At 36.3% G+C, this 27,139-nt stretch overlaps 1 long non-coding RNA gene across 1 annotated transcript in view, besides 2 other annotated features; it reads left to right on the top strand.

The window, feature by feature from the left end:
* LOC105378031 (uncharacterized) overlaps positions 1–27,139 on the top strand; it is a 181,459-nt gene that overhangs the window by 6,744 nt on the left and 147,576 nt on the right. The gene's annotated exons all lie outside the window — the stretch shown is intronic.
* Positions 8,030–8,693: an enhancer, noted in NCBI's record as "OCT4-NANOG-H3K27ac hESC enhancer chr6:142336127-142336790 (GRCh37/hg19 assembly coordinates)". NCBI's record gives its function as "activates a minimal SCP1, AML or CMV promoter by ChIP-STARR-seq in naive and primed H9 embryonic stem cells {active_cell/tissue: H9 hESC(naive and primed)}" and the evidence as "EXISTENCE:reporter gene assay evidence [ECO:0000049][PMID:30033119]".
* Positions 8,694–9,358: an enhancer, noted in NCBI's record as "OCT4-NANOG-H3K27ac hESC enhancer chr6:142335462-142336126 (GRCh37/hg19 assembly coordinates)". NCBI's record gives its function as "activates a minimal SCP1, AML or CMV promoter by ChIP-STARR-seq in naive H9 embryonic stem cells {active_cell/tissue: H9 hESC(naive)}" and the evidence as "EXISTENCE:reporter gene assay evidence [ECO:0000049][PMID:30033119]".

Here is a 27,139-nt window from a genome sequence, read left to right as displayed (position 1 = left end):
AAACACCTGGAGAAAGACCAACCATCAGGTCTAATTTTCCACTGGAATGTGTTGCTCTGGACATGCCAGGTGTTTACATCTGGCACTTCTTCTAATTGGGCTGGCATCTTTTGCCACTGGCTGGGAATCGTGCCAAATAGATTGTTAAAATTTTTGAATGTCAAACTTTCTAATAACTCAGCAGAGAAAAGGACAAATAATATGAACAGACAGTTCACAGAAAATAATGCAAAGTGGATATTTAACATACGGGAAAATTCTCAACCTTATTAAAAAAGCTTGTTGAATGCCTATTTTTAATCTATCACGTGAGCAAAAAATGGAAAAAATCTGAGATATTTTGAGCTGGGCTCTGGGAACATGGGTTCTCTCATCCATTTCTGGTGAGGGTGTAACTTGGTTCGATCTCTGTGGATGGCAATTTGCTAATTCTTGTCAAAATTACAAAGACAAATAGAATTTGACAAACTCATTGACTTCTGGGACTTTATTGCTGTAATATACTTGCACATCCAAATGTGATTCTTAAACAAGGTTATTAATTGGATAATTATTTGTAGTTGGAAAAGCTTAGGGACAACCTAAATGTCCTCTAAAAGGGTACTAGTTATGAAATATAAGTTTTCAATACAATGCAATGATGTCCAACTGTAAAATACAACAAATTTCTGTAATATTATGGAAAGATTATTCAAATACTTTGTTAAATAAAAAGTGTAAGTCACAGGACAGTGTGCATGGCATGCTGACCTGGTGTATAAATGGTAGACAAATATAGAAAATAATGTATGCTTTTTTATTTTATATGCTTGAAGGAAATTTGGAAAGATACACAATAAAGTGGTTACCTGGTGAGGATGGTTGGGGGAGGTGTGCTGAACAAACAGAGCAGAGTAGTGGCAGGAATTCCTTCCCATTCATAACTTTTCTTTACATTTTTAATTTTTAGAAACGTGAAATGCACTAGCTATTTAATTATTAAGTGAAAAAATAAGAAGAATATAGAATAAAACTATAACTATTGAAGAAGTAGAAAAATATATCTCACTGCAGAGATTGCAATCTATTTTGCTTGCTCTTAAGATTAGCCCTGGCTTTCATCTAAATTTTTCCAGGGAGTGAGATTACTCTTTTCCCTCTGGTCACAGGAGAATCTCTCCTTTGTACAAACCATAGAGCTATTATCTACTAGTAAAAGGCATTTTCTTATCCTCATGCTAATCTCTCCCTATGAATATTTTGATATTTATAACCACTCTGGACATGTTCTTCCACCTCAACTAACTGCAGGAACTGGGTATCAAAATTTGGTTGTGTTCCATTCACTTGTTATGTCATAATTTCAGGCTCCTCTTCCTACAGCTTGCTTTATTGGATTTCATCATTGTCGATCACGTTTGCTTCCTGACCACTCTCTCTGGCTCTTGACCTAGAGTTCTTTCTTTCTTCACCAGTCCCTTGGAATTAATGATCACGTTTTTTCTGGACACCTGGGATTCTTAATCTTGATCATTGATCATCGAAGCATTCATTGGGATGCTTGATCATTCGAGCTTATCTTTAATGGGAAGACCCACTTTTTGTTTGTTTGTTTGTTTTTGTTTTTGTTTTGAAGACAGTGTCTCCCTCTGTTGCCCGAGCTGGAGTGTAGTGATCTGATCACGGCTCACTGCAGAGTTGACCTTTCAGGCACAAGTGATCCTCCCAGTTCAGCCTTTTGATTAGCTGGAACTACAGGCACAGGCCACCATCCCTAGCTAATTTTTTAGCCAGGCAGAGACAGGGAGAGAGGGTTTTGCCATATTGCCCAAGCTGGTCTTGAACCCCTGGGCTCAAGTAATCCACCCACCGTGGCTTCTCAAAGTGCTGGGATTACAGGCATGAGCCACTGCACCCTGTTTCATGCGCGTCCGTGTGAAGAGACCACCAAACAGGCTTTGTGTGAGCAACATGGCTGTTTATTTCACCTGGGTGCAGGCGGGCTGAGTCCGAAAAGAGAGTCAGCGAAGGGAGATAAGGGTGGGGCCGTTTTATAGGATTTGGGTAGGTAAAGGAAAATTACAGTCAAAGGGGGTTTGTTCTCTGGCGGGCAGGAGTAGGGGTCGCAAGGTGCTCGGTGGGGGTGTTTTCTGAGCCAGGATGAGCTAGGAAAAGGACTTTCACAAGGTAATGTCATCACTTAAGGCAAGAACCGGCCATTTACACTTCTTTTATGGTGGAATGTCATCAGTTAAGGTGGGGCAGGGCATATTCACTTCTTTTCTGATTCTTCAGTTACTTCAGGCCATCTGGGCGTATACGTGCAAGTCACAGGGGATGCGATGGCTTGGCTTGGGCTCAGAGGCCTGACATTCCTGCCTTCTTATACTAATAAGAAAAATAAAACAAAATAGTGTTGAAGTGTTGGGGCGGCGAAAATTTTTAGGGGGTGGTATGGAGAGAGAATGGGCAATGTTTCTCAGAGCTGCTTCAAGCGGGATTAGGGGCGGCGTGGGAACCTAGAGTTGGAGAGATTAAGCTGAAGGGAGGTCTTGTGGTACGGGGTGATATTGTGGGGATGTTAGGAGAAACATTTGTCATATAGAATGATTGGTGATGGCCTGGATATGGTTTTGTATGAATTGAAAAACTAAATGGAATAACAGAAGGAGAAAAACAGGTATAAAAGATCTAAGAATTGGGACAACTCAGGATATCTGATTAGAGAGTGCTTAAGGAGATTCGGCATAGTCCTGCCAGCAAAGATTATTTATTTACTTCAAGAGTTTAGAGTGGCAGTTTGGGGATAGCACCAGGAGATATCAGCTGTGATGGCTTGGAAAAACAGTGTAAACCGGCAGTGTAAACAAGAGCAGGGCATGTATGAGTAGTTGAGAATGGTGAACAGGAGTATGACTGGACAGAAAATAGTAGGGATGACAAGTTTTTTTTTTTTTCGGGGGGGCACAGTCTAAGTTGGTCTGGTGTCTGGAATGGGACTGGGGCCTAATAGAAAGGAGCGTCTATACAGGAGCTTAAATGGGCTGTACCCTGTAGCATTCCGAGGACAGGCCTGAATTCTGAGAAGCGAAAGTGGTAAAAGTATTGTCCAGTCCTTTTTAAGTTGGTGGCTGAGCTTGGTGAGGTGTGTTTTTAAAAGACCTTTAGTCCATTCTACTTTTCTTGAAGACGGAGGACCATAAGGGATATAAAGGTTTCACTGAATACTAAGAGCCTGAAAAACTGCTTGGCTGATTTGACTAATAAAGGCTCATCTGTTATCAGACTGTATTGAGGTGGGAAGGCTAAACTGAGGAATTATGTCTGACAGAAGGGAAGAAATGACTGCGGTGGCCTTCTCAGACCCTGTAGGAAAGGCCTTTACTTATTCAGTGAGTGTCTACTTAGACTAAGAGGTATTTTAGTTTCCTGACTCGGGCATGTTGAGTAAAGCTAATTTGCCAGTCCTGGGTGGGGGCAAATCCTCGAGCTTGATGTGTAGGGAAGGGAGGGGGCCTGAATAATCCCTGAGGAGTAGTAGGATAGCAGATGGAACACTGAGAAGTTATTTCCTTGAGGATAGGATAGATTTCCACGATAGAAAGGAAATGAGAGGTTCTAAGAGGTGGGCTAGTGGCTTGTACTATAGCATAGCCTGCCTTTGCTGGTGTGTGACGATTAGGCCTGGTGGAACCACCATCAATAAATCAAGAGTGATCAGGGTGAGGAACAGGAAAGAAGGAAATTTGGGGAAATGGGGTGAATGTTGGGTGGATCAGAGAGATACAGTCATGGGGGTCAGGTGTGGTATCAGGAATAATGTGGGAGGCCGGATTGAAGTCTGGGCCAGGGACAACGGTAATTGTGGGAGACTCAACAAAGAGTGAGTACAGCTGAAGGAGCCGGGAAGCAGAAAGTGTATGCGTCAGGTATGAGGAAGAAAATAGATTTTGGAAGTTGTGAGAACTGTAGAGAGTGAGTTGAGCATAGTTTGTGATTTTGAGGGCCTCTAAAAGTATTAAAGCAGTGGCAGCCGCTGCATGCAGACATGAGGGCTAGGCTAAAACAGTAAGGTCAAGTTGTTTGGACAAAAAGGCTACAGGACGCGATCCTGGTCCTTGTGTAAGAATTCCGACTGCACAGTCCTGCACTTCGGCTGTGTGTAATGAAAAGGGTTGGGATGAGTCAGGGAGAGCTAGAGTGGGAGCAGTTTCTAAAGCTGTCTTCAAGGAACGGAAAGAGGAGTGGGGAAAGGATTTAGGATCTATGGGGTCAGCTAGGTTTCCTTTTGTGAGTTTATATAATGGTTTTGTTAGGATGGCAAAACCAGGTATCCAAAGGCGAAAGTATCTAACCATGCCCAGGAAGGAAAGGAGTTGTTGTTTTGTAGAAGGGGTTGGGGTTTGAGAGATTAGTTGGACACGATCGGCAGGGAGAGCACGTGTGTTTTTATGAGAATTATGCTGCGATAGGTAACAGATGAGGAAGAAATTTGGGCTTGATTGAAGTAATGGGGGCTGTCTGTGAAGCTTTGCGGCAGTACAGCCTAGGTAATTTGCTGAGCTTGATGGGTGTCAGGGTCAGTCCAAGTGAAAGCGAAGAGAGGCTGGGATGACGGGTGCAAAGGAATAGTAAAGAAAGCATGTTTGAGATCTAGAACAGAATAATGGGTTGTAGAGGCAGGTATTGAGGATAGGAGAGTATATGGGCTTGGCACCATGGGGTGGATAGGCAAAACAATTTGGTTGATAAGGCGCAGATCCTGAACTAACTTGTAAGGCTTGTCTGGTTTTCGGACAGGTAAAATGGGGGAATTGTAAGGAGAGTTTATAGGCTTTAAAAGGCCATGCTGTAGCAGGCGAGTGATAACGCTTAAATCTTTTTAAAGCGTGCTGTGGGATGCAATATTGGTGTTTAGTGGGGTAAGGGTGATTAGGTTTTAATGAGATGGTAAGGGGTGCATGATTGGTTGCCAAGGAGGGAGTAGAGGTATCTTATACTTGTGGGTTAAGGTGGGGGGGATACAAGAGGAGGACGCAAAGGAGGCTTTGGATTGGGAAGAAGGGCAGCAATGGGATATAGCTGTAGTCCAGGAATAGTCAGGGAAGCAGATAATTTAGTTACAGTGTCTCACCCTAATAAGGGAGCTGCGCAGTTGGGGATAACTAAAAAGGAGTGCTTAAAAGAGTATTGTCTAATTTGGCACCAGAGTTGGGGAGTTTTAGGAGGTTTAGAAGCCTGGCCGTCAATACCTACAATAGTTATGGAGGCAAGGGAAACAGGCCCTTGAAAAGAAGGTAACGTGGAGTGGGTAGCCTCCGTATTGATTAAGAAGGGGACGGGCTTACCTTCCACTGTGAGAGTTACCCGAAGCTCGGTGTCCGTGATGGTCTGGGGGGTTCCGAGGCGATCGGACAGTGTCAGTCTTCAGCCGCTAAGCCAAGAAGATCTGGGAAGGAGTCAGTCAGAGAGCCTTGGGCCAGAGTTCCAGGGGCTCTGGGAGTGGCTGCCAGATGAGTTGAACAGTCCGATTTTCAGTGGGGTCCCACACAGATGGGATGCGGCTTAGGAGGAATCCCGGGCTGCGGGCATTCCTTGGCCCAGTGGCCAGATTTCCGGCACATGTAGCAAGCTCCTGTGGGAGGAGGTTCTGGAGGAACGCCTGGCTGCTGCAGTTCAGGCTTTTGGAACTTCTTGTGTGCTGGAGATGTGGCTGGGGTTTGTCTCACAGTGGAGGCAAGGAATTGCAACTTTTTTCTATTATTGTACACCTTGAAGGCGAGGTTAATTAAATCCTGTTGTGGGGTTTGAGGGCTGGAATTTAATTTTTGGAGTTTTATTTAATGTCGGGAGCAGATTGGGTAATAAAATATATTTTGAGAATAAGATGGCCTTTTGACCTTTTAGGGTCTAGGGCTGTGAAATGTCTCAGGGTTGTTGCCAAACAAGTCATGAACTGGGCTGGATTTTTATATTTGATGAAAAAGACCCTAAACGCTATCTGATTTGGGATAAAGAAAAAGGAGCATTAACCTTGACTATGCCTTTAGCTCTAGCCACTTTTTTAAGAGTAAATTGCTGGGCAGGAGGGGGAGGGCTAGTCACGGAAGGAAACTGTAAGCCGGACCAGGTGTGAGGAGGGGAGGTGATAAAAAGGATGGAGGAGCAGAGGCTGAGGAAGAATTGGGACCTAGCTCAGCCTGGCGAGGAGCAGCCTGGGGAGGAAGGGAGGGGTCAGATGGGTCTGTAGAAAAGGAAGATTAGAAAGACTCAGCGACGCTTGGGGTTGGTATTGAGGGGACAGGTGGGTGGGAAAGAAGGAAGATTTGGGATGAGTTGCACTGGGCACAGAGACTAGGAAGGGACTGATGTATAAAAGGATGCCTGGACGTCGGGCACCTCAGACCGTTTGCCTATTTTATGACAAGAATTATTTAGATTTTGCAGGATGGAAAAATTCAAAGTGCCATTTTCTGGCTATTTGGAACTACTGTCAAGTTTGTATTGGGGTCAAGCGGCATTGCAGAAGAAAATAAGGCATTTAGGTTTTAGGTCAGGTGTGAGTTGAAGAGGTTTTAAGTTTTTGAGAACACAGGCCAAGGGAGTAGAAGGAGGAATGGAGGGTGGAAGGTTGCCCATAGTGAAGGAAGGAAGCCTAGAGAAAAGAGGGAGTAGAGAAACGGAGGGAAGGGGTTCGGGGGTTCTCACCTTCCAGAAAAGTGGGAAAGGGTTGGGGTGCAGAGATAAGAGGTTGGGGTGCGGAAATAAGGGATTGGGGCACAGAGATAAGAGGTTGGGGCATGGAAATAAGGGATTGGGGTGCAGAGATAAGAGGTTGGGGTGTGGAAATAAGGGATTGGGGCACAGAGATAAGAGGTTGGGGCTTGGAAATAAGGGATTGGGGCACAGAGATAAGAGGTTGGGGCTTGGAAATAAGGGATTGGGGCACAGAGATAAGAGGTTGGGGCGTGGAAATAAGGGATTGGGGGTTCTTGCCCTGTAGAAAAGTGGGACTTGCCGCTAAGGGTGAAGGAGAAGGGGTTGAGGGGTACTTGCCCCTCTCCCAGAAAAGCAGAGAAGGGGTAGAGACAAGGAGAGAAGGGGTTGAGGTACTTGCCCCTTCCCCAGAAAAGCGGGACTTGCCGCTAAGGGTGAAGGACCAAGGCAGGCGTCTCTGCATGGTCTGACACCCTTGAAACGTGGGTGTATAATCAGAGAGGCGTCCCTGCAATGATTAAACACCAAGGGAAGGCTGCCTTCCCAGTCCATGACCGGCGCCGGAGTTTTGGGTCCATGGATAAAACGTGTCTCCTTTGTCTCTCCCAGAAAATGAAAGGAATTGAAATTAAGAGAAGGGAGAGATTGAAGAGTGGAAAGGAGAAAGTGGTTGAGGGACAGTGAGAGAGGTGGGAGAAGAGAGTAAGAAGAGGCCGCTTACCTGATTTAAAATTGGTGAGATGTTCCTTGGGCTGGTCGATCTGAGGACCTGAGGTCATAGGTGGATCTTTCTCATGGAGCAAAGAACAGGAGTACAGGGGATTGATCTCCCAAGGGAGGTCCCCCGATCCGAGTCATGGCACCAAATTTCATGTGCGTCCGTGTGAAGAGACCACCAAACAGGCTTTGTGTGAGCAACATGGCTGTTTATTTCACCTGGGTGCAGGCAGGCTGAGTCCGAAAAGAGAGTCAGCGAAGGGAGATAAGGGTGGGGCCGTTTTATAGGATTTAGGTAGGTAAAGGAAAATTACAGTCAAAGGGGGTTTGTTCTCTGGCGGGCAGGAGTGGGGGTCGCAAGGTGCTCAGTGGGGGTGCTTTTTGAGCCAGGATGAGCTAGGAAAAGGACTTTCACAAGGTAATGTCATCACTTAAGGCAAGGACCGGCCATTTACACTTCTTTTGTGGTGGAATGTCATCAGTTAAGGTGGGGCAGGGCATGTTCACTTCTTTTGTGATTCTTCAGTTACATCAGGCCATCTGGGGATATACGTGCAAGTCACAGGGGATGCTGGTGGCTTGGCTTGGGCTCAGAGGCCTGACACCCTGCCCCACTTCTTATTTGATGAAAATAAGGTTGCATATCATATCTGCAGGTAAGAAGTGCTGTACAACCACTCAGTTGAAAACCCAGTCTATATCTTCACCTTTATGTAAGTTGGTTGATTTAATACATATTCAGTATTTCATTTTAAATTGATGGGCTAGCACATTTTTTTATCATCATAATCCTGAAAGTAATCAGGATAGATAAAAAGAATAAATACTGTGGTAGTGCACTTTTCCCCACATATTTATTTTATCTCAAAGGAAGAGGAAGAAAATAATTTCTTTTCTTCCTACTGTAACGCCAAAGGTTCTTGCCTTAGCCACGCCAAAGAATTGGTGTGGCAGCTGCCTGCGGTGAGTGATGGAGACACAGACCAAGAGAAAAAAAGCTGTAGGCTTTATTGAACAGAGTGACAGTACAAAGCTTCCACAGCATGGAAGGGGTCCCCAGCAGGTAGCAAGGGTTAGATTATGCAGTTTCCTTTTAAACTCTTTAAGGTGGGAAATACCTGCAGGGGGAAGATGTTACCAGAGCGAGAAACAAAGACAATTAACCATTTGTGACTCGTTTTAGATCTTGAGGAAAACAGGAATTGCAACTTAGGTTTTATCTACTTTATGACCTTAACAGCAGCATGGCAAAGGAGACAGGATCTTACAGGACTTTACAAAGGATGTTTACAAGGAATTGGAATTAGGAGCATAGATAAGGTCCACTGGTCACAGAAAAATGGGCTTTTAACATTCCTTTTAGTTTTCGGGGAGAAGGAAGGGAGAGAGGGAGAGAGGACACAGGGAAGCTTACAGCAAAATTTTCGCTCTTTGTAGCTCTCTTGGGGAAGAAAACACATGCACAAATCCTGGTGTTAGGAATATTTTAAGCACATATCTTCGATATTATTCATCCAGGACCGAAGTAAGTCCTGATGCAGGAAATGAATGAGTTTCACAGATTTCTGAGCCCTTACTCGACCCAGGAAGCCCAGCTGGCCCCTCCTTTCACTACCACACGCAATTTTCCCAGCTGAGTGTCCTATTATTCCCTGAGGGGATGGACAAACATTTGGACAAGGAAGACCTTGATATTTTCCTATATTGTCATTTCTTTGGGAAAATTTTTTATGAATTTTAAATTATATCCTCTTTCTTTCATAGTTTCCTATACTTTTGTAATCAGAGTTTAAAATTAAATACCATGGGACTTTATAATGCACATCAATCATCTTTTTAAGACATTTTAAAAGACATTTATCTAACTTCTGTGCAGTCGTGGCCCATATCTGTTGGTTAACTTCTGTATCCCAGTGGCAGGCGTGTGCCCAGGCACAAAGCACAAGCATGAATGAACACACAAATGAATGCATGAGTGAATGGTCTCTGAGAATCTGTCTGGGAGGGACTGTGGATAATGATGTGGAGGTAAGAAAAAAAAGTCCTTCCCTTCTTTTAAAGTTCCAATGCCTGATCAGACTCAGGAAGCCCAATGTGAATCTTAAAACTTAGTTGAGTTTCCAGCAGAAGTGTTGTTTTGAAAATCTTGTTTAGTTGTATTCCCACCCTCGGAAGGTGTCATAGTCACAGTGGTGAGCATGAACTAACTGCAATGTGAAGGGATCCAAGACAAAACTGGAGTAACCTGTAAATAATATTTTGGTGGCAGGGTAGGCATGTCATCACATGGTCCTCAAAACCGACAGCCCTTATACTTGAGCAAGCATCAACATCTTCTGGAGGACATGTTGAACACAGATTTCAGGGTTAGGATTAAGTTTTTTTGGAGACAAGACCTGAGGATTTGCATACCACTTTCTGGGAATTATTGGTGGAAAATTTAATAACTGCTTCCTCTGTCATTTTCTGCATGTTCTCCCTTCTACCATTTCCTTTAGAATCTTGATTCCTGGCATATATATATATGTATATATATATATATCTTGCATTTGTGTGTGTGCTTGTATATATATATATATATATATATATATACAAGCACACACACATATATAGTAGTCTGGGATTCTAAAATACTCAGCTCTTTATATAAAAGAGTCCAGGAAGTAAGAAAATTTCAATAAGCCAGTTGAGTCATCTGCACAAATAGAATTATAGTTCTGAGTCATTATTCATTGTTTTATGGTTTCCCAGAATGAGTATTCTTCAAAAGTAATCTTTAATAGGGGTGAGTAATCCATTCTTGGGGCTTGGCAAATCTGTGTGTGACTTCTGAAAGGTTAGCTTGGGGGAAGAAAGTTTCTAAATTTTCCTGTTTGTGGTATATGTTTTCACTCTACTACTACTACTGTAGTTATGTTTTTTGATTATTATTATGAAACCAATGTTTAAAGGAAAGTATAAGAAAAGAATATGAAGAGAAAGGATAGAAAGAGAGAGAGAGAGAGAAAAAGAGGGAGGCAAGGAGATAGATGAGAGAGGGTCAGAGGTAAAATAATACCTAATAATTTGAGGTATCATCAAAGGATGCAAGTAGATAATGACAAAAGAGAAAATTTAAATAAATATATGAAAATATATTTGAACTCAATAATTAATAAACGTGTTAAAGACATAATAGAATTCTAGTATTTAATGTGTTCTTTAAGAAATCAGCAACAGTTTCAACAATGATGTTTCTTCATATAGTAGAGGGCACAGCAAAATAGAAATTCACAGACATTGTTGTGGAATGCATACTATAAAGAAGGTTTGAATGATTTGTTTTAAAAAGTAAATACTACTCTCTATATTATAAAGTGCCATGTTAGAGGGTCAAGTGTTCAAAAATCTTCCTGTCGTATTTATTTTCCTTTCTATCTAGATTTTGCAGTTCATGGCTGTACCCACAAGGCCTACCCTTCTAACAGGTTAGATGAAAGAATATGGTCATGGAATGGTGAACTCAAATTATGAGCTTGGTGTTGGAAGACAGTCATTAAAGTATTCTGTTTAAACAAATGCAAGGGGCCAAGATACAAATCCGGAGCCAGATTTATATTTTTGGACACAAAGAAAAGATCACTTTTTTGTGTGGCTGCCTGTCAGAGAGAGAATTGATTGGCAAATATCAGAAACATTTTACTAATTTAAACCAAATAAGACGAAAATCCACTTGAGTCAACAAAGTATGAAACGCAATATTCTTTTCATTTTCATTTCATTCAAATCTCCTCAGTTTCCCAAGCATCAGACATGTAGCTTTCCTGATGACCTCTCTTGCCTTTAAGGAACTTCAGAAATGAGGCTTCTATACTCTATTAGTACCTGTATTGAATTAAAATTTTATGTACTCAGGTGTGATTCTGCCTTTAAAATATAAGCTCCTTAAAGGCAAAGAATGCATCCTAATCATCTTTTGTATGCACAGCTTAACTCTGTAGTTGTGACTATTCTCTTCTTTCATACTATGGTAAAATCTTTAAACTTCTTTGACCATCTGATATACTCCCACAGTTTCAACCATCAGTACTACAGAGATGATTCTTAAATCAATTTTGTTTTTGTATTTTTGTTTATTTTTGTTTAGCCCTCACTGTTTTCCTAAGTTCCAGAGATATCTCCATATATCTATTTTGAAATTTACACTTGCATATCCTGCTGCTTTCTCATCTATAACATGCCATAGTCTGAACTCCCTATCTTCCTCAGAGCCTGACAGAAATCTGCTTTGCTACCTCTGATAGCTACCATAGTCAATGACATCATCATCTTAGAAAACTTAAGGAGACTTTTGCACACATTCGTTTGAGTTTCAAGAGAGTTGAGTGATACAGATAAGCAAAGACATTTACCATCACTATTTTACCATCAACAAGATCAAATCTCAAGGAAATTAAGATGTTTGCCAACAGTCATGGTGATTATAAATGGAAGAACTGGACAGGCATGGTGTCTCATGCTTGTAATCCCAGTACTTTGGGAGGCTGAGGCAGGAGGATTATTTGAGTCCAGGAGTTTGAGACCAGCCTGGGCAACATAGGGATTCTCTGTCTCCACAAAAAATTAAATAAATTAGCTGGGCATGATGGTGGATGCCTATAGTCCCAGCTATTTGGGAGGCTGAGGCTGGTGGATCACTGGTGCCCAGGAGGTAGAGGCTGCAGTGAGCTGTAATTGTGCCACTGCACTCCAGCCTGGGTGACAGAACAATACCTAATAATGATAATAATAATTATAAAAAATAATAAATGGTAGAACTGAGACTCAAACTCAGGTTTGTCTAACTTAAAAGGAATGTGATTTTTTTTTTTATATCTCTGATTTCAGAATTGTGGACATAGGCTTGACAGGGTTTGCTTACTCATTGTTTATGAACTAAGAAATGAAAAAGAAACATTTTCTCTCTTCATTCTTCTTCATTCTCCACAACTGGTCAGTTTCCAGATGCTTTTGTTTTATATCAGCAATAGTATCTCCTTTCCACATCAGTATCTCCCTTTCCTTTCAGCTCACATTTCCTTATTTCACCTCCTTATTCCTGTTAGTATTTATTACAGTAGCTTTATATTCAGTCTCTCTTACTCTGGTATCTCCTAAGTTTCAAGTCAGGGCAGTGATTTTTCATTTTAATATCTTCAGACAGACTAACCATGAATCCATAGAGTGCTTGATAGAATTTTTGAGATAATTTTTACTATTGGAACTCAAAATGAAAATATTTTGCTAGGAATAAGAAATAATTATATAATATATGATGGGTTAAAACATGGCAATATTTATTCACCTAACCTACTTAAAGGATAAATAAACTTTTTTTCTTTCAGAATCAGGAGCAGGTGTTACAATTAAAATGTAGACAGCATATTATAAAATGTATTGGTAAAATGGACATGGTCCCAGCTATTTAACTGTGTGTTGCTTATGTAAATCCACCTGCTGTTGAAGTCAGATAAGTCTTTATTTGCATGTATATTCTAACATTTACAAAGAGACATTATTTACAACATTTTGTGTATTATATCCTGAACATATGGGTATTTATTCTTGGCCGTTATACCCGTTATACATGCATATGTGGTTTTTTTAGGCCAGGGAAGAACATTAGAGAAGGAAAGAAATTTGTCTGAGATAGTGAATTAATACTAATATGTATGAGTGTTTACTATATTCTCAAAAATGTGCTAAAAGCTTAAGGATGTTATCTCATTTGATCCTCACGATAAACTTATAAAATGGTTACTCCAATCCCCATTTTATAGATGAGGAAACAGAGGCTTAGTTAAGTTCAATATATTGTCCAAGGTAATTCAACAATTAAATGGTAGAGTAGGATCTGAAAGCCATCTGAGTAGATTGCTTTCTGGTTGCAGGTCACAGGAGGCAGCAAGCATTCCCGCAGTAGAAAGTTATATTCCACTGTGGGGACTGAGTTTCAGAGAGGTGAACCCAGTCTCTAGAAGGCTTGCTAACGTCACTCTTGCCCTCCTAAATGTGGTCTAGAAGTATATGGCAAAGATTTTCAAGCTAGATGCTAAGTCCCACCCATGGCTTTTGACACAATTCTGACTACATTCATTAGTAAGGGGTTGGGGCATACAATTAGTTACTTATCATATTAGTTTTCCATTGCTACACAATGTATTACCACAAACTTAATACCTTAAGTTTAAGTTACCTTAAGTCTGCCACTTAATAGCTGACAGTTCTGTAGGTGAGAACTTTAAGCATAATATAACCCATGTGTCAAGAACATACCAGATCAAGGTTTCAGCTGGATGTGTTTATATCTGGAGCCTAGGGTCCTATTTCAAGCGCATTCATGCTGGAGAATTCAGTTCTTGTGGTTTTAGGACTAATGCTGGCTCTCTTGCTGGTTGTCAGTCAAAGCTTATCTCAGCTGGAAGAGGCCACTTTCAATCTTTTGGCATGTTTCCCTCCACCTTTGAAGCCAGCAATAAACAGTTGCTCTTATTGAGTCCCTCTCATACTTTAAATTTCTTTGGTTAAGAAGAGCCTCCTCCCCTTTAATGGCTCACGTAAATAGATCAGACTCACTGCCTCAACTTTATTAAAGTCAGCTGATCTAGGATCTAACTACACTGCAAAATTCCTTCACAGAAGCACATAGATTTGGTTTGAATAATTAGAGGAAGGCATGTATATATCAGGAACCAAGGGTCTTAGTATCTTCTCAGAACTCTGCCTGCTATACTTGTCCAGATTCCAGTATCTGAGGTGGCCTTCTGTGTATTTATATGCCACATTTATGTGAGCCATCTTTCCTCTTAAACTCTACTTTTTTTTCACCAAAAATTGTGCCAGGTCATATGTTTTTCTTTTCTCTTCATCCGTCCAGCCTATCTGGCTGTGGCTATGACATTTTGCCCAGAGCTTTACCTTGAATGCTGTTCTGCATAGAACTAAATATTTTTTCTTATAACCTTAACTGATGCCTGGAATATAGCTTTAATCTCATCACACTGCCTAAAATCATAAACACCCATTGAGTGTTGGCTACACTGCAGGCCCTGAGGGCACAGAGATAAATCCACAAAGCAATTATTTTTAAAAAGTTTATAGTCTAGAAGAGGACATAAATGGAAAATAATAGTTAGCCTTATATTTTTAATACTATAACAGAGATATTTATATGGTCTAGTGAGTAAAAGGAAAGAGCATAACCTTCAGAGAAGTCTTGTTGAAGTGCCAGGTAAACTAATTAATTGGGGTAGCGTGTTCCACTGAGACAGAGAGAGATACAATGAATGACTCATTAATGAAACTGTAAGATATTTGGTATGGCAGACACATAGGGTTAAGGAGTACTAAAGTGAAAAATTCAACTTGAAAAGTAGGTAGGTAGGACACTCATGATGTGAAGGTTTACAATTTACCATGAAGATATAGAAGTTTTAAATACCTGCATACCAAATACTATAACAAATATCCATCATAAGGCAGGAACTACATGAGATGCAAAATAAAATTTACAGATAAACTGGAATGGTAAAATATTCAAATATATCACTCTCAGTTCAAGTCAAGTCAAGTATATAAAAAATAATAAAGATCTAGACCTGTATAATATAAACAATACAGTAGATTTCACAGATATTTTTGAAATTAACACCCTAATACGAATAGGGTACTTTCTTCTCAAGAAATGTAGAAGAGTAAACAAAGCTGATCACATCTTAGGTCTTGACTTGTTATTTCTAAACTCTTGTATTGTGACATTGTGCTCTTGATCTATATAGAAGATTTCTTCATTAATACTGTTCATTAGTGGCAATACAGTTAATCAGTCTTTTTATCTGTTTTTGTGGCAATATTTTTCTAGTGAATACTCCTAATTTACTGTTTGTTTTTCCGTGTTCTCTTCTCTGTGTTCAACTTTTTTTTCTTTAAATATCCTTGGATACGCATACAATGGTCATTTAAAAAATTTCACTTGGATTTGGTAACATGAGTTTCCCCTAGATCAGCCATTTTTAAGTGATTCACAGGACTGGAATGGGGCCGGAGCTATATGAGAGGCTAACCAGAATAATTGGAGTTTTACATCTGAATACAGAGTGTTATGTCTCTCAATGCAGCCTTTTTCCTTTTTGAGTTTCACCAGTAGAATGCTCCTTGAAGAGATGTATGTCTTCCTCCAAGATAAATATGGCATGTAGAATTGCATATACCACTTATTTTCAAGAAAGGTGCTCTGTAAACTTTTTCTGAAATCCAAAGGCTTGGAGTTTGTGCTTCTGCTTCTGGGTTTTGCCATAGAATGATTTGCGGAGAGGATAAGGAGAACACCTGCCTTCTATCTCACCTTTTATAACTATAAATTTAATTTTATGACTTGGATTCCTATAGCATTTCATCCACTTTTAAATATATTTATCACTATACGAGTTGTTACAGTAAAGTATCTCACTTTTTATTAAGTAATAAGCAGACTGCTTTTTTCTCTTAATTGATAGAGATTATTTAAAAGTAAAAATCCTGGACATAAAATATATAATAGTACATTGAGATTTTATGCATAGTAGGCTCATAATAGCTATTTTGTGATAAATATATTTTCCCATATATGTAATTTAGAATAAAATAATAAATTTTAACAATTTTCTTTAATACTTATACATTTTGTTATTATATATTTATAGTGCCAAATATTTTTTATTGAAAGGAACTGGCATCACAACAATACATTTTTTTGTTTTATATGTGACACAAAGCATATTTTGTTAATTAGACTGGAAAATATTCATTCCACATAATAAGAAAGTGACAATAATTAGGAAAAATGTTAGTTTATATTTTAATCATCTCCAAATCAACATTGTCACATGTATTTATTTTGTCACAATCAAACTAGAAGTAACATTAACTAATTTTCACCTATCATAATTAGTTATTTCTTCTCATTTCTCAAATTCTCTCATTATTTAAAGATAAAGCAGTAGAACATATTAGTACATTTAAATCTCTCAGTAGACTGTAAATTCCACGTGAACAAAAATTATGTTTAGTTTACTTGTCTTTGTACTTATGTCAGGGTACTTCAAACAAAATGTGTACCATATAGTGACGTAATAAATATTTGTTTAATGAATTTATCATTTTTACAATTATAATTGCTTCTGGTTCTTATTTTTGCTACTTGACGGTGACTTTTTTAGGAAACGAGGAAAACTCCTGCCTTTATTTTGATGTTTCAGAAATAGAAATGTAATCTAACTAGTTGAATTTTATAGAACCTTATTTATTTTTAAAGACATTTATAACCATGACATTATTATATTTAAGTATTTCTTTCTGCTTCTTCATTAGTTCATAAGAAGAATCTGGGTCCCTTTTGTCTTTTTTTTGACAAAAAGAGAGTATTTAGAAATAAATTGGATTTGAAATGATAATACTTTAAGATATGACCAGTCAGAAATTTTGTTAAAAATTGAATATTTCAAATATATTGCTATTTATCTGAGAAATTAGAGGTGTAGAGATGTTATTAGAACTCAAACTTTCTTCAGCAAATATCCACTTATTCCAACATGTTATTCTAAGAAACTCTGATAGACAATAGATTCTCATTCTTTTTCAGAAACGTTGCTTAGGTATTCTTTGGTTTTTATTATATAGTTTATCCTTGTTACTTTTATTATGATGCCTTTTGGTGATTGTTCATAAGCCCTATTTCTCTTTCCCCTCTCAAGTATGAAATGGGCAAAGGTTGCTGTCATAACTCAAATCCTCTTCCAGGCTCTGCTTTTCTACATAACAACCTTTTGTTGGGTTCTTAAAAAAATTCCATCAGTTTTGAAGAATTCAGGCTGTTGCCTAAAATCTATATTTACTTTCTGCATTATCTCATGATTTGACCCAAATTTACTTTACTTGACATATATCATCATAATTTGTGATATGAGGTAGTCACTACTTCTTTGTTTTATTAGAAATGAAGTTGTCTATTTAATTTTGTTTTCATTATTTAAATATTGCTTTTAGTTGATTGCTGAGAGGTTAGGGTAAAATCAATTTTACTCTACCATCTTTCTCTGAAAATATGTAAGCAATCTAATATACAAACAGACTTTATTTTATTTCATCTTACACAGGTATAATGCAGAATAACAGAGAAGACCCATTGGAGATGTAAAGAGTAACTGCCATGGGTGTATGAAGATTAAATACGCACTGGTGATAAATTCCCCATGAATAAGCTATGGATGCACAGGACAGATATTTTGGTGGGATTCTTGTAGACTGCCACTTTAGATTATCCATAGATTATCTATAAGGTCCCATTTCCATGCTTTTATTCTATTATTTTATTATTTCTTTTTCGTGATGTTGTTAGACATAGGGAGTTCTAGATTAGTAAATGAGTAATTCAAAGCAGTCTAATAAGACATTTTCTCTTAAGTAATTTTCAGCAGAAAAACAGAAGAAATACACATCTTTTTTCTATGAACTGTGTAATAATGCAAAAATAAAAGTAATCACTGAAAAATGAAGGAACAAGTAGATTAAAAAATTTACAAGCTACATTGAGCTTTAAAGTGATGCGTAAATACTGTGCAGGTAGCGATTATTTATATAATAGCCTGGATCATTTTATCAGCGTTTAACCAGCTTTCTTCTTAAAATTGTAACTACTAAAATGAATTTATAGTACAAAGCAACTTGCTATAGATACATTCAAAGAAACTTTCTTGGAGTATTTAAGAGCACCAAACCAAACAAAGATAATTAATAAAAAGGTTCAGCACTCTGATCTCAGGGGGAAGGAAATGGGGCAGGATATACTTGTGCTCTTAAGCTATTCTAGGGAATTCTTTAGAATGTTCTGTGAGCATTACTCTGTGCTTCAGAATAATATGTTGCTGTACTAGCAACATCATCTTCATAAATTTGCACCTTTGGTGGCTAATCATAAGGCTTCATTTTTCTGAAAGTCATAACTCACATCAGCCTGCTGCACTGAGTGAGATAACATTATTTTCTTGTTCATGGAAATAAAATTCTACAAGTGATTTACTGATGTGCTAATTACCATTTCCAGGATGAGCTAGGGAATACTGTGGTTTCTCAAATCGTTTCTTGCCTAAAAATACATTTATATTTGCAATAAACTCTGAAGCATAAAATGGTGTTAGTCTTGTGGATTGTTGCCAAACATGGTAGGCAATATCCTCATAATTTTTATTTTTAAATTTTTTCAGTAAATTATCAACTGTGCTTGAGCAGAAAATGCCATAATTGCTGATTTATTTGTGTGTGTGAATAGTAATTTCTTCATAACATCAGTAATGGAAACATATCAGCACCCATGGAGGATTAGCAGATAAAATAATATATATAAATAACATGTATCATATATAAAACATGTATATCTTATATATAACATATATTTTCTATATCTCTCTATATAAAACATATATATCACATATAACATATATGTGGTCTTAGAATATATATTTTCTATATTTCCATATATATTCTTTTATATTCTAAGAATATATAGGTAATATATAAGTATATATTATTAGAAAGAATATATATTCTTTCTTTTATATTCTTTCTAAGAATATAAATATATATTCTTTCTAAGAATATAAATATATATTCTTTCTAAGAATATAAATATATATTCTTTCTAAGAATATAAACATATATTCTTTCTAAGAATATAAATATACTTTAAGAATATAAATATACTTTCTAAGAATATAAATATACTTTCTAAGAATATAAATATATATTCTTTCTAAGAAAATATATATATATTCTTTCTAAGAATATATATATATTCTTTCTAAGAATATAAATATATATTGTTTCTAAGAATATAAATATATATTGTTTCTAAGAATATAAATATATATTCTTTCTAAGAATATAAATACGTATTTCTTTCTAAGAATATAAATACGTATTTCTTTCTAAGAATATAAATAGTATTTCTTTCTAAGAATATAAATATGTATTTCTTTCTAAGAATATAAATATATATTGTAAGAATATATATTTCTAAGAATATAAATATATATTGTAAGAATATATATTTCTAAGAATATAAATATATATTGTAAGAATATATATTTCTAAGAATATAAATATATATTGTAAGAATATATATTTCTAAGAATATAAATATATATTGTAAGAATATATATTTCTAAGAATATAAATATATATTGTAAGAATATATATTTCTAAGAATATAAATATATATTGTAAGAATATATATTTCTAAGAATATAAATATATATTGTAAGAATATATATTTCTAAGAATATAAATATATATTGTAAGAATATATATTTCTTTCTAAGAATATATATTTCTTTCTAAGAATATATATTTCTAAGACATTCTAAGAATATATAGTCTTTATATATTCTAAATATATATTTATATGTAATATAAATATTATAAAATTATAAAATTTTTAATAATTTTATAAATATAAAATTATAAATTTTTTATTTATAAAAATGTAATTTTTTATAATGTAGTATGTAATAATTTATATGTAATATAAATAAATATATAAATTTATTTTTAATGTATATAAATATATATTGTAAGAATATATATTTCTTTCTAAGAATATATATTTCTAAGACATTCTAAGAATATATATTCTTTATATATTCTAAATATATTTATATGTAATATAAGTAAATATATAAATTTATTTGTATGTATATATACAAACAAAAATATTGCTGCTTAAAGATCTACAAAGGAAATAGTACTTCCATTGACTCAACTTTCCAAAACGTCTTTGTTTTAGTTGTGCCTTTTAGTCTTCTCACCTCCTTTGCTTGCTGCCATCTGGGCAGGCTCCAACTTTTTACTCTCAGCCATTTCTAAGGCATTTTGTTTACTTTCCTATCTCAATCTATACATACATGAGTCTAGTGTATCCTTCAAAGTTGCTTTCCCTGTCCTCGCTGAAATCTGCTGTAATTTCCCAGCTGGCTCTGATGTCTCATCGTGTGCCTTAATCAGGGCTCTGGTTATTAGATTTGAAATACCACAATCGATATGCTTGTTGATATGGTTTTGCTGTGTCTCCACCCAAATCTCATCTTGAATTGTAGCTCCCCTAATTCGTACATGTTGTAGGAGGAAAGTGGGAGATAATTGAATCATGGGGGTGGTTTCCCCCATACTGTTCTCATAGTAGTAAATAAGTCTCATGAGAGCTGATGATTTTATAAGAGGAAACCTCTTTCGCTTGGTTTTCATTCTCTCTCTTGCCTGCCGCCAATGTAAGACGTGTCTTTTACCTTCCACCGTGATTGTGAAGCCTTCCCAGCCACGTGAAACTGTGAGTCCATTAAACCTATTTTTCTTTATAAATTACCCAGTCTTGAGTATGTCTTTATCAGCAGCATGAAAACGAACTAATACACTTGTCTTATGTCTTTGTTGGATTGTGGGCTTCTTGAGAACAGGAGCTTTTGTTTCCTCATCTTTATATCTTCTCACCCTCAGCTCTCTGTTTGGCATAGGGTAAATAATAATAAATGTTTCTTGATTGAACTATTGACCGAATCTTTTTTCTTACTATGGACTCCTGAAAATCATTCTCATGCTTTTATTTCTAATTTGCTGGCTATTCTGTGATGTCTATTTCCTTCACTTTCTATCTCCTTCATATGTATTTCCATCATATTACTTTTCTATCTTTATTTTTGTCAAACAGAAGTCAACTCCATACGTGTATTTCTCATTTATTTATTTATTTATTTGATGGAGTTTCTCTCTTGTTGCCCAGGCTGGAGTGCAATGGAGCGATCTTGGCTCACTGCAACCTCCGCCACCCGGGTTCAAGCGATTCTCCTGCCTCAGCCTCTGGGATAGCTGAGATTATAGGCACCTGCCACCATGCCCAGCTAATATTTGTATTTGCTGGTCTTCTCCCATTTTTATAGCCTCGCTTGGTTTCATTATTCTCTTCCCAAGTACAGTAACCAGAGATGCACATGCACGTCCCATGCATGTGCACACACAAAAAAGGGCCAAGAGGAAGGACACCAATAAATTAATGCTTATGTCTGGGTAACAAAAATATCCATGTAAATATGGATTTATAGATTTTTAGGAACAATTACATTTCTTAAATACATTACGTTCATTCTCATCTTTGGGTATTAAATGTTCATGCTTCTTTCATTAGCAGTTTTCCACCGAATCTTTTGAACCAAATTTTACCAATTTTTCAAGGCCCAGTTCACATTGTGCATGATACATGGAGCCTTGTTCCAACACATGAATCTCCAATGATAGCTGCCTCCTCTGAATTTAAGACTTTTTGAGAGAAGGAAACCTAGGAACTGTCACCACGTCTTATGTGCTACATAGAGCAACTATTTGCTTGTATTGTACCTTGTGAGAATTAGAAAACAGTACCCTCCTTGGCAAATGCAACTAGAGCCTGTGGTTTAGTAAGTTTAACATGAACTAAATTTTAGCTTCTAGCAGCTCCCTCTACATTTGGCCAGATACCTTTGTACAGGGCACAACTGGCAATACACATTTTGTTCAGATCACATCTTACATTTTGATGTCATTTGACTTTTCCATTCCAAATAATGTGACACTTTAATGTAATTTCTGATAACAGAGGTGCACTTATATGCTTTTAAAAATAGATACAAATATTTGTGCTATTTATGGGGTACATGTGATAATTTTTTACATGCACAGACTATATAATGATGAAGTCTGGGTAACTGAGTTGTCCATGGCCTTGAGTATTTATCATTTCTATATATTGGGAACATTTTGAGTTCTCTCATCCAGTTGTTTTGAAAAATATAATACATTGTTGTTAATTATAGTCACCCTACTTTACTATCAAACATTAGAACTTACTTTCTCTGTCTAATGTATGTTTATACCTACTAACCCACCTCTGTTTATACCCCACAGTCACCTATACATCTTTCCCAGCTCCTGGTATCTATCATTCTATTATTTACTTCCATGAAATCAAACTTCTAGCTTCCGCAAATGAGTGAGAACATATGATATTCGTCTTTCCGTGCCTGGCTTATGTCACATACACAGTGATCTGCAGTTCTGCTCATGCTGCTGCAAATGACATGGTTTCATTCTTTTTAATTGCTGAGTAGTATTCCTTTGTGTATATATACCACATTTTCCTTATCCATTTGTCAGTTGATAGACACTTAGGTTGATTCCATATCTTTGCTCTATTAAATAGTGCTGCAATAAACAAGGGAGTGCAGGTATTCCTTTTATATACTGAATTTTTCCCCCTTATATTCAATAGTGGGAATGCTGGAGCATATGGCATTTCAACTTTTAGTTTTTGAGAAATCTCCATGCTATTTTCATAGTGGTTGTACTAATTTTTCATTTCTACCAACAGTAACAAGTTCCTCTTGTTATTAATTTCTAGTTTTATTTTGTCATAGTCTGAGAAGACAATATGATTTCAATTTATAAAAATTTGTTGAAATTTATTTTATGTCCTAACATATGGTCTATTTTGGAGAATGTTCTATGTGCTAAGAAGAATGTGTATACTATAGCTGTTAAATAAAATGTTCTATAAATGTAGATGTCTTTTAGGTCCCTTTGGTCTAATGTGCTGTTTGAATCTAATGTTTCTTTGTTGATTTTCTTTAAGAATTCCCATTTTTCCGCATACTTGCTAGTATCTGATTTTTTTTGTCTTTTTAGTAGTAGCCATTCTAACTATGGTAAGATGATATCTAACCGTGGTTTTGATTTGCAATTTTCTTGATAATTAGTGATTTGTTTTTTATATGTCTGGTACCTATTATATCTCTTCTTTTGAGAAATATCTATTCATGTATTTTCCTACCTTTTAATAAGATTATTTGTTTTCTTACTGTTCAGTTGTTTGAGTTCCTTGTATATTCTGGAAGAACAGTTTGCAAATATTTGCTCCCATTCATCAGGGTGCCTCTTCACTCTATTAACTGTTTTCTTTGTTTATACAGAAGCTTTCCAGTTTAATGTATTCCTTTTTGTCTATTTTTATTTTTGTTGTGTGTGCTTTTGGGATCTTAGCCATAAAATCTTTGCCTAGACCAATGTCCTGAAGTGTTTTCCCTATGTTTTCTTCTACTAGTTTTATAGCTTCAAGTCTTACATTTTAGTTTTTAATCCATTTTGATTTGATTTTTGAATATAGTGAGAAGTCGGGCTCTAGGTTCATTCTTCTGCATATGGATATCAAATTTTTTCAGCACCATTTATTAAAGAGGGTGTCCTTTCCCCAGTGTCCATTCTTGGTGACTTTATTGGTGACTTTATAACCCATCTTGGTGAAAATGGGTTAACCATAAATGCATGAATTTATAACTAGGTTTTCTACTTTGTTTCATTGTTTCATGTGTCTGTTTTTATACCATGCTGTTTTCATTACTATTTTTATATCCATACTATTATTGTTTTCATTACCACTGTTAGGATTGCTTTGGCTATTCAGTCTCTTTTTTTGATACCAAATGAATTTTAGGTTTTTTTTTTCTATTGTAGTGAACAATGACATTGCCATCTTGATGGAAATTAGATTGAATCTACAGATTTCTCTGGGCCATATGATCATTTTAATTATATTAATTATTCCAATCCACAAGCATGGGCTATCTTTCCATTTTTTGTGTCCTCTTAACTTTCTTTGCTCAGTGTTTCATAGTTTTCCTTATAGAGATCTTTCACCTCCTTGGTTAAATTTATTCCTAGCTATTTTTTATAGCTATTGTAAATGGAATTGTTTCCTTGATATGTTTCTCAGCTAGTTCATTATTGGGGTACAGAAACATTACTGATTTTTATCATTGATTTTTGCATGTTGATTTTATATCCTGAAACTTTACTGAAATTATTTATTAGATCTAAGAATGTTTTGTTGGAGTCTTTAGTTTTTCTAGATGTAACATTCTAGATCTGTAAAGTCAAACAATTTGACTTCCCTCTTGGATGCCTTCTATTTCTTTTTCTTGCCTAATTGCTCTGGCTAGGACTTCCAGTTCTCTGTTGAATAGGAGTCATGAAAGTAGACATTCTTGTCTTGTTCCAGTTCTTAAAGGAAGGGCTTTCAGTTTTACCATTCAGTATCATGTTAACTGTGGGTTTGGCATATATGGTCTTTATCGTATTGAGGTATTTTTCCTTCAACACTCTTGTGGAGAGTTTTTATTATAAAGAACTGTTGAATTTTATCAAATGCTTTTTTTGTGTCACCTGGCATGATCATATGCTTTTTTCCCATTAGTCTGTTAACATAATCTGTCACATTTATTGATTTGTCTATTTTCAGCCATCCTTACATTCCTTGGATAAATTCTACTTAATCATGGTGCATTATTTTTTTTTACGTGATGTTGAATTTGGTTTGCTAGTATGTTGTTGACAATTTTTGCATCTGTGTTCATCAGGCATATTGGCCTTTAGTTTTCTTTTTTGTTGCATACTTGTCTGACTTTGGTATCAGGGTAATGCTGGCCTTGTAGAATGAGTTAGGGGAAATTTCCTTCTCTTCAATTGTTTGGAATAGTTTGAGGAAAATTGGTGTGTGTTCTTCTTTGAAAGCTTGGTAGAATTCAGCAGTGAAGGCATCTGGTCCTGGTCTTTTCTTTTTGGGGAGACATTTTGTTATTAATTCAATCTCATTATTCATTATTGGTCTGTTCAGGCTTTCTAGTTCTTTCTGATTCAATCTTAGTAGGTTGTATGTGTCCAGGAAATTATCCATTTTCTCTAAGTTTTCCAGTTTGTTAGCATATAGTTGATCATAATAGTCTGTGATGATCTTTGGTATTTCTGTGATATCAGTTTTAATGTTTCCTTTTTCATTTCTGACTTTGGTTTTTATGTTTTGAGTCTTTTCTCATTTTTTTTTCTGGGTTATTCTAGCTAGAGGTTTGTTGACTGTGTTTGTTTTTTTCAAAAAAAGCTTTTCATTTTATTGATCTTTTGAATTAGTTTTTAAATCTTGATTTTGTTTAGTTCTGCTCTGATTATCATTATTTCTTTCCATCAGCTTATTTTGGGTTTGGTTTCTTGATGTTCTTCTAGCTCCTTAAGGTGCCACCATCACTGGATTATTTGTTTAGAAGCTTTCTTCTTTTTTGATGTAGGCATTTATTGCTATGAATTTCCCTTATAGCACTGCTTTTGCTGTATCCCATTGGGCTTGGTATGCTGGGTTTCAAGGTATTTTTTATTTTCATTTGTTTTAAGAATATTTTTTATTACCTCCTTAACTTCCTCCTTGACCCAGTGGTCATTCAGGAGCATGTTGTTTAATTTTAAGTGTCCGAGGTTCTTCTTGTTATTAATTTCTAGTTTTAATTTGTTGTGGTCTGAGAAGACACTTAATATGATTTCAATATATAAAAATGTGTTAAAATTTATTTATGTCCTAACATATGGTCGGTTCTGGAGAATGTTCCACGTGCTGATAAGAAGAATGTGTATACTAAAGCTGTTAAATAAAATGTTCTATAAGTGTAAATGTCTTTTAGGTCCTTTGGTCTAATGTGCAGTTTGAATCTAATGTTTCTTTGTTGATTTTCTGTCTAGATGATCTGTCTAATGCTGAAAGTGGAGTGGTAAAGTTCCAACCCAACTATTATTGTATTGGAGTCTATCTCTCCCTTTAGATCTAATAAGATTTGATTTGTATATCTGAGTTCTCTGGTGTTAGGTGTGTATATTTAAAAAATAGTCATATTATCTTGCTGAATTGACTCCTTTATCATTATATAATTACCTTTGTTTTCTACTATTTTTGACTTAAAGTCTGTTTTATATGATATAAGTATAGCTGCTCCTGTTTGCTTTTGGCTTTTGTTTGCATAGAATATTTTGTTTCGTCCCTTTACTTTCAGTCTATATCAAGCTTGTCCAATCCACAGTCTGTGGGCTGCATGCAGCCCAGGATGGCTTTGAATGTGGCCCAACACAAATTTGTAAACTTTCTTAAAACATTATGAGATTTTTTTTTTTAAAGCTCATTAGCTGTCATTAGTGTTAGTGTATTTCATGTGTGGTCCAAGACAATTCTTCTTCTTCCAATGTGGCTTGGGAAAGCCAAAAGATTGGACATCCCTGCTCTATATGTATCTTTATAGCTGAGATTAGTTTCTTGAAGGCAGCATACAGTTGGGTTATGTATTTTTATTCCATTTAACTAGCCTGTATCTTTTAAGTGGAAATTTTAATTCATTTACATTTAAGGTTATAATTGATATCTGAAGACTTATTCCTGTCATTTTATTAATTTATTTCTGGTTGTTTGTATATCCTTTGTTCCTTTCTTCTCTCATTGTTTATCATTATGGCTTGGTGGTTTTCTGTAGTGGTAACATATGAATCCTTTCTCTTCTTTATTCATGTGTTTGCATTACCAGTGGGTTTTAAACGTTCATGTGTTTTCATGATAATAGATATAATCTTTTCACTTTCAGATGTAAGACTTCTTAAAGCATTTATGGCAGGATTGATCTACTGGTGATGAATTTCCTCAGCTTTTGCTTCTCTTGGAAAGATTTTATTTCTTCTTCATTTATAAAGGATAACTTTGTTGGTTATACTGTTGTTGGGTGGCAGTTTTGGTTTTTATTTCCAGCACTTTGAATATATCATCACATTCTTTTCTGGCCTGTAAGGTTTT

The sequence above is a fragment of the Homo sapiens genome, chromosome 6 (assembly GCF_000001405.40).
Source record: "Homo sapiens chromosome 6, GRCh38.p14 Primary Assembly".
NCBI classification, from domain to species: Eukaryota; Metazoa; Chordata; class Mammalia; order Primates; family Hominidae; genus Homo; species Homo sapiens.
This window is presented reverse-complemented; position numbering and strand designations above follow the sequence as displayed.